This window comes from Homo sapiens, chromosome 16, assembly GCF_000001405.40.
Source record: "Homo sapiens chromosome 16, GRCh38.p14 Primary Assembly".
NCBI classification, from domain to species: Eukaryota; Metazoa; Chordata; class Mammalia; order Primates; family Hominidae; genus Homo; species Homo sapiens.
The window spans coordinates 33,472,459-33,491,373 of record NC_000016.10 but is presented as its reverse complement, the minus strand read 5'-3'; the positions used below and the strand labels follow the sequence as shown (position 1 = coordinate 33,491,373).

The window sequence follows — 18,915 nt, the reverse complement described above, 5'->3', positions numbered from 1 at the left end:
CCAGCCAGCCAAGCCAGCCAAGCCAGCCAGGCCAGCCAAGCCACCCAGCCAGCCAAGCCAGCCAAGCCAGCCAGCCAAAGCCGGCCAGCCAGCCAAGCCAGCCAGCCAGCCATGCCAGCCAGCCAGCCAGGCCATAATTTCATCATTCCACTTCATCATTCCACTTCATCATTTCATTTCATTTCATTTCATCATTTCATTTCATTTCATCCTTTCATTTCATCTCATCATTTCATCCTTTCATTTCATCATTTCATCTCATCATTTCATCTCATCATTTCACTTCATCTCATCATTTCATCATTTTATCTCATGATTTCATTTCATCTCATGATTTCATTTCATCTCATCATTTCATCTTTTCATCTCATCATTTCATTTAATCATTTTATTTCATTTTATCTTTTCATCTCATCATTTCATCATTTCATTTCATCGATTCATCATTTCATCATTTCATTTCATTATTTCATCATTTCATCATTTCACTTCATCTCATCATTTCATTTTATATCATTTCATTTCATCATTTCATCTTTTCATCATTTCATTTCATTTCATGATTTCACTTCATTTCTTCATTTCATTTCCTCATTTCATTGCACCATTTCATCACTTCATCATTTCATCATTTCATTTCATCATTCCATTTCATCATTTCATCATTTCATTTCATCTCATCATTTCATCATTTCATTTCCTCATTTCACCATTACATTTCATCTCATCATTTTATTTTATCATTTCATTTCATCATTTCATTTATTCATTTCTTCATTTCGTTTCATCATTTCATCATTTCCTTTCATTTCATCATTTCATCTCATCATTTCATCTCATCATTTCATCTCATCATTTCATCTCATCATTTCATCTCATTTCATTTCATTCATTTCATCATTTCATCTCATGATTTCATTTCATCTCATCATTTCACTTCATCTCATCATTACACCATTTCATCTCATGATTTCATCTAGTCATTTCATTTCATCTCATCATTTCATTTCATCTTTTCATCTCTTCATTTCATTTCACCGTTTCATCTTTTCATCTCGTCATTTCACTTCATTTCATCATTTCATCAATTCATCATTTCATCATTTCATTTCATTATTTCATCATTTCATCATTTCACTTCATTTCATCATTTCATATAATTTCATCATTTCATTTTATCATTTCTTTTAATTTCATTTCATCATTTCACTTTATTTCATCATTTCATATCATTTCATTTCATCATTTCATCTTTTCATGTCATTTCATCATTTCATCATTTCATTTCATTCATTTCATCATTGCATTTCATCATTTCATCATTTCATCTCATGATTTCATTTCATCTCATCATTTCACTTCATCTCATCATTTCATCTCATGATTTCATCTCATCATTTCATTACATCCCATCATTTCATGTTTTCATCTCGTCATTTCATCATTTCATTTCATTTTGTCTTTTCATCTCGTCATTTCATTTCATCATCATTTCAGTTCATTTATTTCATCATTTCATTTCATCATTTAATTTCATCATTTCACTTCATTTCATCATTTCATTTCATTTCATATCATTTCATCATTTCCTCTTTTAATTTCATTTCATAATTTCATCATTCCACTTCATCATTTCGTTTCATCATTTCATTTCCTCATTTCATCATTTCATTTCATCCTTTCATTTCATCTCATCATTTCATCCTTTCATTTCATTCTTTCATTTCATTATTTCATCTCATCATTTCATCTCATCATTTCATCATTTCACTTCATCTCATCATTTCATCATTTTATCTCATGATTTCATCTCATCATTTCATTTCATATCATTTCATCTTTTCATCTCGTCATTTCACTTAATCATTTTATTTCATTTTATCTTTTCATCTCATCATTTCATTTCATCATTTCATCATTTCATTTCACTTCATTTCATTTCATCATTTCGTATCATTTCTTCATTTCATCTTTTCATTTCATTTCATCATTTCATCATTTCATTTCATTTCATCATTTCACTTCATCATTTCATTTCTTCATTTCATTTCCTCATTTCATTGCACCATTTCATCACTTCATCATTTCATCATTTCATCATTCCATTTCATCATTTCATCATTTCATTTCATTTCATCTCATCATTTCATTTCATTTCCTCATTTCACCATTACATTTCATCTCATTTCATCATTTTATCATTTCCTTTCATCATTTCATTTCTTCATTTCATTTTGTTTCATCATTTCATCATTTCCTTTCATTTCATCATTTCATCTCATCATTTCATCTCATCATTTCATCTCATTTCATTTCATTCATTTCATCATTTCATCATTTCATCTCATGATTTCATTTCATCTCATCATTTCACTTCATCTCATCATTACACCATTTCATCTCATGATTTCATCTAGTCATTTCATTTCATCTCATCATTTCATCTTTTCATCTCGTCATTTCATTTCATCATTTCATTTCATCTTTTCATCTCGTCATTTCATTTCATTTCATTTTATCAATTCATCAATTTATCATTTCATTTCATTTCATTATTTCATCATTTCATCATTTCATCATTTCACTTCATCATTTCATTATTTCATATAATTTCATCATTTCATTTTATCATTTCTTTTAATTTCATTTCATCATTTCATCATTTCACTTTATTTCATCATTTCATATCATTTCATCATTTCATTTCATCATTTCATCTTTTCATTTAGTTTCATTATTTCATCATTTCACTTCATCATTTCATTTCATTTCCTCATTTCATCATTTCATTTCATTTCCTTTCATCATTTCATCTCATCATTTCATCCTTTCATTATTTCATTTCATCATTTCATGTCATCATTTCACTTCATCATTTCATCATTTCATTTCATCATTTCACTTCATCTCCTCACTTCATCATTTCATCTCATCATTTCATCTCATCATTTCGTTTCATCTTTCCATCTCATCATTTCATTTAATCATTTCATTTCATCTTTTCATCTCATCATTTCATTTCATTTCATCATTTCATTTCATCAATTCATCATTTCATTTCATTTTATTATTTCATCATTTCATCATTTCACTTCATTTCCTCATTTCATTTCATCATTTCATATTTCTTCATCATTTCATCTTTTCATTTCATTTCATCATTTTATCATTTCATTTCATTTCATCATTTCACTTCGTCATTTCATTTCATTTCCTCATCTCATTTCACCATTTCATCATTTCATCATTCCATTTCATCATTTCATCATTTCATTTCATCATTTCATCATTTCATCATTTCATTTCATCATTTCATCATTTAATTTCATCATTTCACCATTTCACTTCATCTCATCATTTCATCATTTTATCATTTCATTTCATCAGTTCATTCCTTCATTTCATCATTTCCTTTCATTTCATTATTTCATTTCACCATTTCATCATTTCATTTCATTTCAGTGATACATATATTTAAGTGCTAATGTGATGCCCAGGAGACATCCTACTTCCCTTTGTAAAATACCTCCTTCAACAAAAGGCAACCTCTCATGGCTGGCTAAGTCTACAGGGATACCAGGCTCTCCTCAACCACCCAATTTGATTTAGAACCTCAAACAGCACCTCAGTTTCATGAAAACCTAACACATAAACACAACACTTGGTTGTAAGTGAGCCAACAGCTTCTTGTCTCTTTCTCTGCTCAAGGCTTAAGGCCGTGTCTCCCCAACTACGTTCAGTGGAAGAAAAGATCCCCTGGACAAATAAGTTTGAGGACTGTCATTGCAGGACTTCTCAGAACCTTTAAAACACAAATCCTCATCCGCAGGGATCTTCAGGAGGGAGACGGCTGATGCAGCACAACTTTCTTTCACAGGAGCATCTTGCAGAATACAGTATGAGATACAGAAAGGCTGCACTGAGTCTTTTTAAGGGTCTGGGCCTTGGTGGGGGTGGGGTAGGAGCTCTCCAGATAGCATCTAATGAGTAGGAACATTCAGGTTGCTTTTTTTTTCCCTTATTGGCAAAACTGTGTGTGCACCATGAATGAAGCTGGTCTCCCTTATCCACATCAAAACTAAACCCAAATTAATTGGCTAAATTGGGACTCAACACCACCAGGAGCCACGTGGAAGACAGCCCTACCACACTTTAAAGTAGCTTACCTCATCATGTTTGAGGAAAGCAAAACGCTTATGACCAGTATGCTGCTAATACAAGTCTACAGATAATGCTGTAGGAAAAATTATTTTTCCCAATCATAGCTGGCATAGTCCACATTTTGCATTACAATTTCCCCTTTTTTAAAATTTAAACACAGGTCTTTTTCTCTTCTTTTTAAACATTTTAATTTAATTTTACAAGACGGAGTCTCAGTATGTTGCCCAGGCTGGTCTTCAACTCCTGAGCTCAAGTGATACATCCCTCTCTGCCTCCCAAAGTGCTGGGATTACAGGCCTGAGACACTGTGCCCGGCCTTCAACATAAAGTTTAATTCATTCTTACAATTATCCTGAAGTTAGAAAAATGGAAGGGGAAGAAAAATGGCAAGCAGGTAGGCTGACTTCGACTTCATTATTTGGAAGGACAGTTTGCTCGGTTAAAACACTCTACTGCCCAAAAGGCCAAGACAACAGAAAAATACAGACTTACATAAATAGATTTTATATGTGACAGCAGTTTGAATGGAGACTTTTTCAATGCAAATGACAAACAGCTGTGCTTGGGAATAAATGACAAAGAATTTTTTATCTCAACAGCTGTCCTGAGAGCACGTCTCTACATCTATACCTGCATTCTGGAATCAGGGAGAAAGCCAAAACGGATGACAAGACACTAGGTCAGCCGCGTCCAACCCTTTGACTACAAGGACTTTTCCACCTATCTGTGGTGGTGGGTATCATGAAAATTATGCACAAACCTTTTTTTTTTTTAAGCTCATCAGCTATCGTTAGCATTAGTGTATTTTATATGTGGCCCAGGAGCATTCTTCTTCCAATGTGACCCTGAGAAGCCAAAAGACACCTGTGCACTAGATCAAAAGGCTACTCCTTCTGGAAGCAATTGTAAAGAATTTCTGACATTATCTTCACATGACAACCAATGGGTAGTGGGACAGAATGCAAAAATCTTCAAGTATTTTTCTTGTTGGTTTTTTTTTTTTTTTTTTTGAGTCAGGGTCTTGCTCTGTGGCCCAGGCTGGAGTACACTGCTGAGATCACAGCTCAGTGCAGGCTCAAGTGCTCCTCCCACCTCAGCCACAGTAGTAGCTGGGACTACAGATGTGCACAACCACCACTGGCTAATATTTTATTTTTTGTAGAGACAGGGTCTCACTATATTGTCCAGGTTAGTCTCAAACTCCTTGACTCAAGGGATCCAGGACAGGATAACAGGTGTGAGCCACCACATCTGGCCATGTGCATGAACTTTTAAGACAAACACAAGGCCCCACAAAAGTTAAAGTTTTCCCACCTAATTTCCAGGGGATCTTTTGGTGCAAGGATGAGAAGCCCTTAAAAGTACCCAGACAACTCCAAAGATTCAAGACAGTTCATTGGGGCTGAGCCAGCCCACTGGGCAGACTGACCTTCAAAAAAGGCCCACCCATGATATACACCAGATGGCTCTCCAAGAATCTCTCCAGTCCTCAGGGTCCCTAAGGTACTGGACAGAGCTAGGAAAGCAAACCCATGTGCTTCTTCCTTCAGGCAACCCCTTGAGGTCAAGACCCCACAATCAGATGAGGATGGAGTGGCTCACCCTCAGTCAACAGGCCAGACTCAAGGTGGTATTATGTCTTAACCAAGGGTGTGGGCCTCCAGGTCTCACTCCCAACTCAGTGCTCCTTTAATAACCACACTTTGTTAATTCTCCTTAACAGGGGTTCCAGGCAAGTCAGTTCTCCCTCAGGCCTTCGGTTTCCTCACCCACAAGATGAGAGGGCTGGACCAGATGGAAATTCAGGGGGTAAGGGGATGTCCGCTCGCAGCCCACCTCGCCCATGGGCCCCTCAAGCCTCCCTGCCAGTTCCCACGACGCACCCGCCCCACAGATCCTGCCCAAGGTGAGGGCTGGTCCCGGGTCCTCCGGCTGCCGCATCAGCGAGTGCAGGAGGGAGGGGAAGCCTCCAACGGGGCGACTCGGGCTCAAGGATGCAACTCGGCCAGGAGTGAACTCGGGCACGGAGGGAGGTGTCTGGGCCGCTCCTCGAGCCCAGCCTGGGTCCACGACCCCCTTACCTCCAGGGTCCGTATCTCCTGCTGGGTGAGGTCCTTGGACACAGCGCACTTGTTGCGCAACCGGCTCAGGCTGCCAATGGAGATGCGGATAAGCTTCTGGAGCTGCCCACAAGCTTCTGGAGCTGCCCACACTGCTGCAGCGTCTGGCTGGCTGCGGCCCCTGCGCCTCCCAAAGAGGCCGCCGCATCACCCCCGCCACCGCCCTCCTTCTTCTCTCCCCTGGCCGCTACGCGCAGCGCCGCTCTATGCAGGCCGCAGCGGCCAAGGCGGGGAGCTCGGGGCGCGGGCGCCTAGGCAAGGAACCCCCGAGCCGGGAGAGCTGGACCAGGAGCGCCCCTCGGCTCCGCCCGAACAAGGACGCCGGTAGAGCCGGCAGCCGAGTGTGCCGCTCCCGCCCTCAGAGCCGCGTCGGTGGTGGCAAAAAGCGGCGGCGGTGGGGGCAAAAAGCTGGGGCGGCGGGGACAAAAAGCCTCGGTGGCGGGGGTAAAAAGCCACGGCGGCAAAAACCGGCGGCGGCGGGGGCAAAATGCCGCAGGGGCAAAAAGCCGCAAAAAGCCGCGGCGGCGGGGGCAAGAAGCCGCGGTGGCGGGAGCAAAAAACTGCGGCGGCAAAAAGGGGCGGCGGCGGGGGCAAAAAGCCGCAAAAAGCCTCGGCGTAGGGGGCAAAAAGCCGTGGCGTCGGGGGCAAGAATCCGCGGCGGCGGGGGCAAAAAAAATATATATATAATTATATTATAAATATATATATTTCTATATAAAATATTATAAATATATATTATATTTATATATAATTATATATATTTATAATATAAAATATATTTATATATTATATATATTAATTATATATATATTATAAATATATGTAATAAATCTTGATTCTAAGAATGTTTTCATTATTATCACTAAAACTTATGATAAATGTTTTATTCATTCGTTTGTGACTATATTGCATGATAAAAATTTAAAGATTTATTATGTTTGAATCAAACCCCACGATTTGTGTCATTTCCCCCTGTAATGTGGAAGTCTGAGTTTTTAGTTCACAAATTTGGCAGAACAATAAACAGAGCGGCACAGCTCAAAGCACTAACTCCTCCGGAAGCAGCAGGTCAAAGTACATGCCAGACATTAAGCAGCAGAGCAACTTAGCAAGAGAAGACAGATCCTCAGGTTGGTGGGCAATGTCTGAACAGTCTGCTCATGGCACCAATTGTTAGTCACTTGCAAAGATGTGGCTTTAAGAGGGTAAGAAATTACTACTCACATAAATTACATTTGTGAGGTAAGTAGGAAGGCCTTTCAAGGTGATCTGACATGGCTTGAATGTGCAAGAAAAGGAGCCAGGCCTGGATTTTTATTGAGGGTAGGTGGCATGCTAGGGTGAGAATTTATTCCCATGGACAGGGGTTTGAATGGTTTCAATCTGCTGCTGGTACCAGAAAAGGGACCACCCAGGTTTCCTCTTACTGTATTATTTTATACACACACACACACACACACACACACACACACACACACACACACACACACGGTTTAGGATTAAAAATAGAGACAACCATCAAAAAATGAAGATAGTTCCTTTTGGTCAGCCTGGCAAGTAAGGACGTAGAAGGTGACATTCGCATCAGCGAAAGTAAAAAGGGAAACATAGGCCAGCAATTCTCCTAACATCTATCAGAAAAATAAGTTCACAGGGCAAATCACCATCCCAAATTGGACAGAAGGACACACACATCCAGAGAATTATAACTTACTTGGTTAGTAAACCACAAGAAACCCCTATGGGAACAAATACAGTTGTAAGAAAACAAACCATTATTGATGAATGGCTAAAAGTTTGAGAATTAACATTTTCAGGGTATACAAATTTATGAACTTTACTTTCAGAAACATGACATGGCTTTTACAGGGAAGATGATAGAAAAAATGCTTCTTGATTCCAGTAGGAGGAAGGGAAATGTAGCCATTTTTAACTATTCCCAGAAAATTTTCTTTTTAACATTCCTATCTTCAATATAAACTATGTATCAAAAGCCTAACCAACTGAGATTTTACCAGAGCCAGACTTCCTGGAGTAAGAGAAATGCCCAATTCCATCCCCCTCTAACCTTCTTGATCCAGTTAAGAGAGGTAAAGAGTGAGAAGTCCTCATGAAATTCACAGCCTAGGGATACACTGTTTTGTTTTGATTTGTTTTAATGAGGCTAATGCATAAGTCAATAGAGTGCTTTGCCTAAGCTCTCACATAACCACTACATCAACAGCAGAATAAATACATGGTAGCAGAATACAACTGAAAGAACTGTATGCCTCAGATCTTGTTAAATAAGTCTCTAAGAGACCACAAGGAAATTGAATAATGTTGATAAAGTCGACACATGTATATGTAGAAATACACAATGTACTGACACTGAGTCATGAACAAATAGAAAATCTGAACAGACCTATAGTTGCAGATTGATGCAAAAATCACCCCTCCAGAAAAAAAAGTACAAAACTGTTATGCTGCTGAATCTATCAAACATTTTAAGAATTAATTACCAATTATCCTCAAACTCTTGCAAAAACCTGAAGATGCAGAAACACTTCCAAATTTATTCTATGAGGTAGGCCAAAATTACAGTGACATAAAAAATGAACAAAAGCACTACAAGAAAAGAAAGTTGAAGAAAAATGTTCTTTATAAATAATATAAAATCTATAAAATAAATATTAGCAAAATATATTTAGCAGAATAATAAGAGGGTTATCTACCAAGACTAATTGAGAGTTATTACTGAAGTGCAAAGATGCTTTAACATATAAATATCAATAAATGTAGCCAGGCACAGTGGCTTGTGCCTGTAATCCCAGTTACCCAGGATGCTAAGGTGATAGGTTCACTTCAGTCCAGGAGTTCAAGAGCAGTCTAAACAACATCATAATATCCTGTCTCTAAAAATAAATAAATAATAAATAAATAAACAAATAATCATAATATACCGCATTAGTACTGTTAAACACCACAATATCTCAATTTACACAGAAAAAGCATTCTACAAGATATTACTCATTCATGGTACAAACACACAACATAATCAACAGTGAAATACAAAAAATGTTTTCCCTTAATATCAGGAACTAAAAATAGTTCCTCTTTTTTACCACTTCCACTCAACAGAGTATATAAAACTTTAGCTTAAGCAATAACAAAAATAAAATAAAGACAAAAATGCATATGTTAAAAAGAATAAAATAGAAATATCTCTGTTCACAGTAATCATGTATGCACACAATTCTGAAGATTGTACAAACAGAAAAACACCTCAAAACAGTTTAAACAAATTAAGTAATGTTGCAGGATACAAAATTAACTTACAAAACTCAGTTGCATTGATGCACACCAATAATGATTAATCTGAAAAGGAAATTAAGAAAACAATACCATGAACAACAGTATTAAAAAGAATAAAATGCTCTGGAATCAATTTAACCAGGATGACAAACTATTTGTACAATAAAAACTTTCAAAATGCTGCTGTAAGAAATCAAAGGTACAAATAAATGGAACAGTATCTTCTGTTCATAGGTGAAAAGACTTTTTAAAAAATTTCAACTTTTATTTTAGATTCAGGGGTTACAGGCACAGATTTGTTATGTAGGAATATTGTATAATGCTCAGGTTTGGAGCACATAGGTAGTGAGCACAGCAACCAATATGTAGTATATTAACTTGCCCTCCCCTCTGCACACTTTAGTAGTCCACCGTGTTTACTGTTCCCATATTTATGTCCATATATGCTCAATGTTTAGCTCTTATAAGTAAGAACATGCAGTATTTGGCTTTCTGTTTCTGCATTAATTTGCTTGAAATTATGGCCTCTGGTTCCACCTATGTTCATACCAAGGACATGATTTCATTATATTTCACAGCTGTGTAGTATTCCATGGTGTATACATACCAGGTTTTCTTTATCCAATATACCATTGATGGGCATCTGGATTGATCCCACATCTTTGCTATTGTGAATAGCACAGTGATGCATTCAAGTGCATATGTCTTTTTGGTAGAATGATTTATTTTCTTTTGGGTATATACCCAGTTGTAGGATTGCTGGGTAAATTGGTAGTTCTGTTTTAAGTTCTTTCAGAAATCTCGAGACTGCTCTCCACGATTGCTGAACTAATTTACAATCCTGCCAGTGACGTAAAGTGTTTCCTTTTCTGCACAGCCTTGCCAACATGTTATTTATTGACTTTTTAGTAATAGCCATTCTGACTAACATGAGATGGTACCTCATTGTGGTTCTGATTTGCATTTATCTGATAATTACTGATGCTGAGCAATTTTTCATGTTTGTTGGCCACTTGTATATCTTCTGTTCAGGCATATCTGTTCATCTCATTTGCCCATTTTTTATTTTTTAATGGTTTTTTTTTTTTTGGCTTGTTGATTTGAGTTCCCTATGGAGTCTGGATATTAGGCTTTTGTTAGACTCATAGTTTGTGAATATCTCCTCCCATTCTGGAGGATGCCTCTTTCCCCTGTTGATAGTTTATTTTGCTGTGCAGAAGCTATTTAGTCAAATTAAGTCCTACTTGTCTATTTTTGTTTTGGTTGCAATTGCTTTTGGGGACTTAGCCAAAAACGACTTGCCAAGGCTGATGTCAAAAAAATATTTCCTAGGTTATCTTCCAGAATTTTTATAGTTTGAGGTCTTACACTTAAATTTTTAATCCATTTAAATTTAATTTTGGGGCATGTTGCAAGGTAAAGGTCTAGGTTCAATCTTCTGCCTATGGCAAGCCAGTTATCCCAGAATGTATTGACTAGGGAGTCCTTTCCCCATTGCTTGTTCTTGCCAGCCTTGTCAAATATCATATGGTTGTAGGTGTGTGACTTTCAGCAGTGTTTTGTAGTTCTCCTTGAAGAGATCTTTCATTTCCTTGGTTATCTGTATTCCTAGGTATTTCTCTTTTTTGTGGCTATTTTAAGTGGAATTGTGTTCTTGATTTCACTCTTGGCCTGGACATTGTTGGTGTATGGAAATGCTACTTATTTCACCATAATCAGTACTGTTTACACTGATTTTGTATCCTGAGACTATACTAAAGTTATTAATTCTAGGAGCCTTCTGGCAGAATCTCTAGGATTTTCTAGGCATAGGATCATATTTTCAGCGAAGAGAGATAGTTTGACTTCTTTTCCTGTTTCGTTACTTTTTCTTTCTCTTGCCTGATTGCTCTGCATAGGACTTCCAGTACTAAGCTGAATAGGAGTGCTGTGAGTGAGCATCCTTGTCTTGTTTCAGTTCTCATAGAAATAGTTTTAAGTTTTTAACCTATTGAGTATGATGTTGACTGTGGGTTTCCCATAGATGACTCTTATTATTTTAAGGTATGTTCCTTGGATGCCTAGTCTATTGAGGATTTTTACCATGAAGTAGTGTTGGATTTTATTAAGAAGACCTTTGTGTATCTGTTTAGAAAATCATATGGTTTTTACTTTTGATTCTATTTAGCTGGTGAATCACATTTATTGGTTTGCATATGTTGAACCAGCTTGCATCCCAGGAATAAAGCCTACTTGACCATGGTGTATTACCTTTCTGATGTGGTGCTGAATTTGGTTTGCTAGTATTTTGTTGAGGATTTTTACATTTTCTGTTCATGAGGGATCTTGGTCTGAAGTTTTGTTTTTTCACAGTGTCTCTGCCAGATTTTCATATCATGCTACTGCTGGTTTCAAAGAATGAGTTAGGAAGGAGCCCCACCGCCTCGATATTTTGAAATAATTTTAGTAGGATTGATATCATTTCTTCTTAGTATGTCTGGTAAAACTCAGCAGCCAATCTACCTGTTTCAGGCCTTTTTGTTGTTGTTGTTGTTGTTGGTAGGTTCTTTAGTACTGACTCAATGTCAGAAGTTGATATTAGTCTACTTAGAGTTTTGATCTCTTTCTGATTCCATCTTGGGAGACTGTGTGCTTCCTGGAATTTATTCATTTTCTCCAGATTTTCTAATTTGCGTGCAGAGCTGTTCATAGTACTCGCTGAGGATCTTTTGTATCTCTATCTGATCCATTTTAATATAACCTGTCATTTTTATTGCGCTTATTTGGATCTTCTCTTTCTTTTTTATATTTGTTAATTTGGCTAGGAGCTTATCAATTTTTTTTGAAGAACCAATTTTTTGTTTTCTTGGACTGTTGTATACATTTTTGCATCTCAACTTCATTAAATTCTTCTCTAATTGCTGTTATGTCTTCTCTCATGCTAGCTTTGGGGTTGGTTGGTTCTTTTTTTCAAGTTCCTTTAGGTGCAAAGTTACATCGTTAATTTGAGACATTTCTAACTTCTTGATAAAGGCATTTAGGGCTATAAAGTTTCCTCTTAACACTGCTTTGGCTGCATCTTAGAAATTTTGGTAAGTTGTGTTCCTATTTCTATCAATTTCAAGTAATTTTTATATTTCTGCCTTACTTTGATGTTTACAAAGGATTTATTCAGGAGTAAGTTGTTTAATTTTCATGTATTTCTGTAGTTTTGAGAGATCTTGGTATGCATTTGTATTTTTTATTGTACTGTGCTCCAACAGTGTGCTTGGTGAGATTTCATTTTTCCTTAATCTATTCAGGCTTTATTTATCACTGAGCACGTGGTTGAACTTAGAATTTTTTTTTGTGCAGATGAGAAAAATGTACATTCTGTGGTTGTTCGATGGAGTTTTCAATAGATGTCTATTAGGTCCAATTGGTCAAGTGTGGAGTTTAACTCCAGAGTTTTCCTGTTAGTTTTTTTTTTTTTTGGCCTCAGTGATATGTCTAATGCTGTAAGTAGGGTGTTGAAGTCTCTTACTACTATTGTGATGTTGTCTAAGCCTTTTTGTGGGGAAAGAAAAAGTCATTTTGTAAATCTGGGTGCTCCAATATTAAGTGTATATATATTTAAGATATTTAAGGCTTCTCACAGGATTTTATCCTTTATCAATATGCCCTTGTTATTCTTCTTTTCATTGGTAGGCAAAGAAGAAGTCATTTTATGAATTTGGATGCTCCAGTGGTAATCACATATATATTTAAGATAGTTAAGGCTTCTTGTTAGATTGCACCCTTTATCAAAATGCTCTTCTTGTCCCTCTTAGTGTTTTTTTTTTTTTTTTTTGGTTTAAATTTGTTTTATCTAATATAAGAATAGTGACTGCTGCTTGTTTTTGTTTCGTTTGCATGGTAGAATACACTCCACCCTTTTACTCTGAGGCAAAGGGTGTGTCTTGAAAGCAACAGATGGATGGGTACTGTCTTTTTATCCAGGATGCCACTTTGTGTCTTTTAACTGTGGTGTTTAGCTTACTTACATGTTAGGTGAGTATTGATATGTGTGATTTTGAATTCACCATCATGTTGTTAGCTGGTTGTTATGTAGAGTTGATTGCATTATTGCTTTATAGTGCCTGTGGGCTATGTGCTTAAGTGAGCTTTTTTGGTAGCAGATATCATTCACTTGAATCCATGTTTAGCACTACCTTAAAGACCTCTTGTAAGGCTGGTCTAGTTTAAATGTATCACGTCAGCATTTGCTTGTCAAAGGAATTTTTTTTTTCCTCTTTCACCTATGAAGCTTAGTTTAGAGGGATATAAAATTATTGGTTAATTTTTTTTCCTTTAAAAACTCTGCAGATAGGCCCCTAACCTCTTCTGGTTGCAAGGAGTCTGCTGAGAGGTCTGCTGCTAGTCTGATGGAATTCACTCTGTGAGTAACCTGCCCTTTCTCTCTAACTGATCTTAAATTTTTTTTTGCACTGACTTTGGTGAATCTGATGACTATGTGACATGGAAATAGCAATATGGTTTGGATCTGTGATTCTGCCCCAATCACATGTGGAACTGTAATCTTCAATGTTGGAGGTGGGGCCTGCTGAGAGGTGATTGGATAATGGGGATAGATCCTTGTGAATGGTTTAACACCAGCCCCTTGTGCTGTCTTGCGATAACGTTCTCATGAGATCTGGCTGTTTAAGAATGGGTAGCACCTCCCCGCTCTCTGTGTTGCTCCTGTTCTTCCATGTAAGATGCCTTGCTCCCCCTCTTCCTTCTTCCATGGTTGTTAGTTTCCTGAGGGCTCCCCATAAGCCAAGCTGATGCTGCCATGCTTCCGCTGCAGCCTGCAGAATTGTGAGCCAACCAAACTTCTTTTCATTATAAATTACCCAGTATCAAGTATTTCTTTATAGCAATGTGAGAACTGACTAATACAGACTGTCATATATTATTGTATCTGACTAGGGGCTGACTGGGGTTCTCTTGGATTTGAATGGCAACCTCGCTAGTGAGATTAGAGGTACTTTCATGAACTATATCTTCATACATATTTTCCAACTTGCCTATTCTCTTTCCTTCTCTCTCAGAAATGTTGATAAATTGTAGATTTGTTCTCTAAGTAATCTCATATTTCTCAATGGGGATGTTGATTTTTCTTAATTCTTTTATCTTTATTTTTGTCTGACTATGTTGATTCAATAAAACAGTGTTTGAGCTCTGAGATTCTTTTCTCAGTTTAGTCTATTCTGCTGGAAATACTTCTGATTTTATTATAAAATCCTCACAGTAAATCTTTCAGCTCAAGAATTTTTTTAGTTTAGATATTTCTTAAGATTGCTATTTTATCTTTCAGGTTTTGAATCATTTAACCGGATTGCTTGGCTTCCTTGGGTTAAGTTTCAACTTTCTTCTCAATCTAAATGAGTTTCCCTGCTCTTTTTTCCATGTCTGTCATTTTAGACAATTCAGACTGTTAAAAACCATCACTGGGGCACTAGTGGGCTCTCTTGAAGGAGACACTCTGGCTTTTTGCATTGCCAGAGATTTTGAGCCAATTCTTTCTCATCTGAGAGAACTGGTATACCTCTAATTGGGGTATAAATTGAGTATAGTCTATTGGCTTTCTTTTTTTGAAGGTTTTCAGAGGACTAGGACTCTGTACAGTGTCTTTGTTGTTGAATTCTTGCTCTTGGTTTCACAGGGGAAGAATTAGTAAAGTGATTTTTGGTGGTGTAATCTCTACTGCGATCCAGTAGATAGCACTTGAGAGCAGTGGGATGTAGATAGGTTCTTTACCATGCAGTTCCTTTGTGTATCTTCTTTATTTGCAACTATGTTCTGTGGTACAGGTCTGTTCATGAGTCTTGAGAGACTCACTTCCAATCACTGGCACTATGCCCATTATTATTACTATCATTATCTCCTTTTTTTTTTTTTTTTTTTTTTTTTTTTTTGAGACAGAGTCTTGCTCTGTCGCCCAGAGACTGGAGTGCAGTGGCAGGATCTCAGCTCACTGCAAGCTCTGCCTCCTGGGTTCATGCCATTCTCCTGTCTCAGCCTCCCGGCTAGCTGGGACTACAGGCGCCCGCCACCACGCCTGACTATTTTTTTGTATTTTTAGTAGAGACAGGGTTTCACCGTGTTATCCAGGATGGTCTCGATCTCCTGACCTCGTGATCCACCCGCCTCCGCTTACCAAAGTGCTGGGATTACAGGCGTCAGCCACCGCGCCCGGCCTATTACTATCATTATCATTATTGTCATTGTTGTTAGGTGTTTCAAGCTGTGGGGCTTCCTCAGGGAGATGTCTTCTAGAAAAATACCCTGCATCTTTACCATAACAGCCCTGTGGAAGGAGGTGTGCCTAGGGCCCACGCCAGCCTGTGAACCTGTGTGAATCTGGCCTCTCAGTTTCTGAAGAGTGTGGGTTCCTCCCCCATTCAACTGCCCAGCACAGATCCCAGCTTGACACTCCTGAACCACAGGCCACAGCACTGGAGTGCCACGACTTGCTTATGACTCCCTCTTCCTGATGCTTAGGGCCAGGTTCCAAGTGTGGTGAGGGATCTGAGGGATTTCTGGGCTGCCAGAATGCATTCAGGTGGAGCCAAGCATCCAGGTTGGGTAGCAGAAACTACAATGTATACATGCTTCTCCCAGGAAGCCAGGCAGGGGCCATGTAAGAGGCTGGTGGACAGGCATGCCTACAGGATAGACATGTCCCAGTCCTGCGGGTAAGCAGGCCTTGCTTTCTCCCTGCAGTTTAGCTGGGGCCAAAGCCTCTGAGAGAGATAGGCAGCTGCAGAGGTGGGACTTTATGGTTGAGCTCCACCAGATCCGACCCATGCTAAAAAGTCCTGGCTCTGTGCCTGCTACAGCTCCATCTCCATCTACTCTCCAGGGAGATCTCCTTGCCAACTCACATGTCCATGGGGGTGTGGAGTTTCCTGCAGCCAGGATCCCAGTGGTCTGCAGCGAGAGTGAGCAGCCTCCCAGTCCCTTTACTCACTTCTTCCCCAGATGCCACTCAGGGCCAAAAAGCAGTCATAGCGTTCAGGCACCCCATAAGGGCACCCCAGCTTCCTTGCTCTTCAGTCTTAGAAAACGCACCTTTTCTCCATCCACACTATCCATTTTCTCTCCAAATATCTATTCAAACTATGTTGATGTAGTCAAAATTGTGGTCTTTCTCTTTGGGAGCAACACTTGCTGGCTGCATCCAGTAAGCCATCTTGGAAACTCTCTTAAAAGTACTAATGTGGCAATTTCTCCTAAAATTATCTATAAATGCAGTGCAATCCCAATCAAAAGCCCAATAACTTTTTTTAAATGGAAACAGAAACTAACATTCTAAAATTCAAGTGAAATCTCAAGGAACCAAGAATAGTCAAAACGATCGCAAAAAAAAGAGATAAAAATGTTCAGAGCTCTAATTTCATAATGAGAAATTTCCTAACGTCAAAAGTTACTCACAGTCATGTTACTCAAAACAGTGTGGTACTGGGATAGAGACTACAAACAAATGAAATAAAATAGTGTCTCTCAGAGGACACTATCAATAGAGTAACAGGACAACTCTGAATAATAGAACATACTCCATAACAATACTCTAATAATACATCTGGCAAGGTATTAATATAGGGAAAATACAAAGTAAAAAGGTTTGAAAATCTTCAACACTCCTCATGATAAAAACATTAAATAAACTGGAAATAGAAAAGATATTGTAAGACATCTATAAAAACCCCACAGCTAACATCATACTTGATGTTAAAAGACAAAATGCTTTCTACCTAAGATCAGAAATAAGACAAAGATGTCTGTTCTCACGACATCTATTCAACATGGTAAAAAAAAAGCTGTTAGCTAGGAAATTAGGCAAGAACATAAAAGTATTAGTGATTTTAAAGCAAATACACACATAGCACCCAGGCATAAATACAAAAGCAGACTTTTCACTGCACATAAAGGTGGATACACGCAGACAAAGACACGCAAGCTTGTTAACTGTCAGAGTTAGCAGCTGAAACACATAAATAAATGCTCAGAGAGACACCCAGTTTAGACCTCTGCTCTCTTTACCACACTCTCCTCCCACATTAGCAGTAACCACTATCTTACACATTGTTTATTTTACTTGTATTATATATTTATTTTTTCCTAGAATATCAGCTTCAAGTGGGCAGAATTATTTGTTTTGTTTTAGTCATTGCAGCACCTCCTAGAACATCTGCTACACAGGGCAAGATTAATACATAATAAATCACTGGGCTCAAATTCACACAACTATACACAGTGCTTTTCCATGAACCTCATCATAGGCCCATATAAACTTGATTTGCACAAAATGAGTTTTTCTTAACTCGATCTTATGTGGCAGGGTGGTGTCTTCTGAACTCCAAACAAATTCCTAAAGGTTAGCTTACTCAAATGAATTGAAAATGTAAGTCCACACAAAAACCTGCACAAAAAAGTTTACAGCAATATTAATTGTAGTTTTCACAAAACTTGGAAGCAACCAAGATCATGTATTCACCAAGGTCAGAGGTACAAAATTATTATACAAAAATCAATTCTACTTCTATACACTTGCAATGAAATATCTAATAATGCAGTTGAGGCAAAAACAAATCCATTTACAATAGCAATTAAATAATAAATCATAGAAATAAATTTTTAAAAATGTGAAAGGAACTTATAATCTGAAAACTACAAACCTTATCGAAAGAGGTTGAAGATCTAAATAAATGAGAAACCATTCCATGTTTATGAATCAGTAGGTTTAATACATTATGATGACAATAACTCCCCAAACAGTCTACATCCAGTACAATTAGATTCAGTACAATTAGAATTCAAGGTGACTACCATGTAAAAACTGAAGCATTGATGCTGAAATTCATATAAAATTAAAAGGGACTAAGAATATCTTTAAAAATCTTTAAAAAGATGCCAAATAAAAGGACTCACAAATTACAACTTCAAAATTTGCCTCAAAGCAACCTTAATCAAGATGGTGTAGTAACGACACAAGGAAAGTCATTTAGATCAATGAAATACAACTGAGAACCCAGAGAGAGTAAAATCAGCAAAATGTCAAGAATGTACAGCTCCAAACACCTGCTCCTCCACAGAAACAGGGAAAACCAAGCAGAACTGTCAGAAACGATGTTGTAAAACCTGTTGAAAACCATCAAGTTGTACAGCAACCATGTAACTACAAAATCAAGAAAAACAATGAAGAACAGGAGAAAAGCCTCGTGGACTTTTTACACGTCCTTGCCCAAATCCTTCCCTTACTTGATGGCAGTCTTAAAAACAACATCCTGAGTTGCCAGTATGGGCCTCTGCTCAGTGGTTCCAGAGGGAAAAGAGG

At 37.7% G+C, this 18,915-nt stretch overlaps 1 long non-coding RNA gene across 1 annotated transcript; it reads left to right on the top strand.

Annotated features, from left to right (window-relative positions):
- Positions 4,877-6,609, top strand: LOC105379474 (uncharacterized). The gene is made up of 3 exons (XR_005647013.1): positions 4,877-4,893; positions 5,712-5,788; positions 5,885-6,609. It is a non-coding gene; the product is annotated as an uncharacterized LOC105379474 (long non-coding RNA).
- Positions 6,610-18,915: the final 12,306 nt, after the last annotated feature.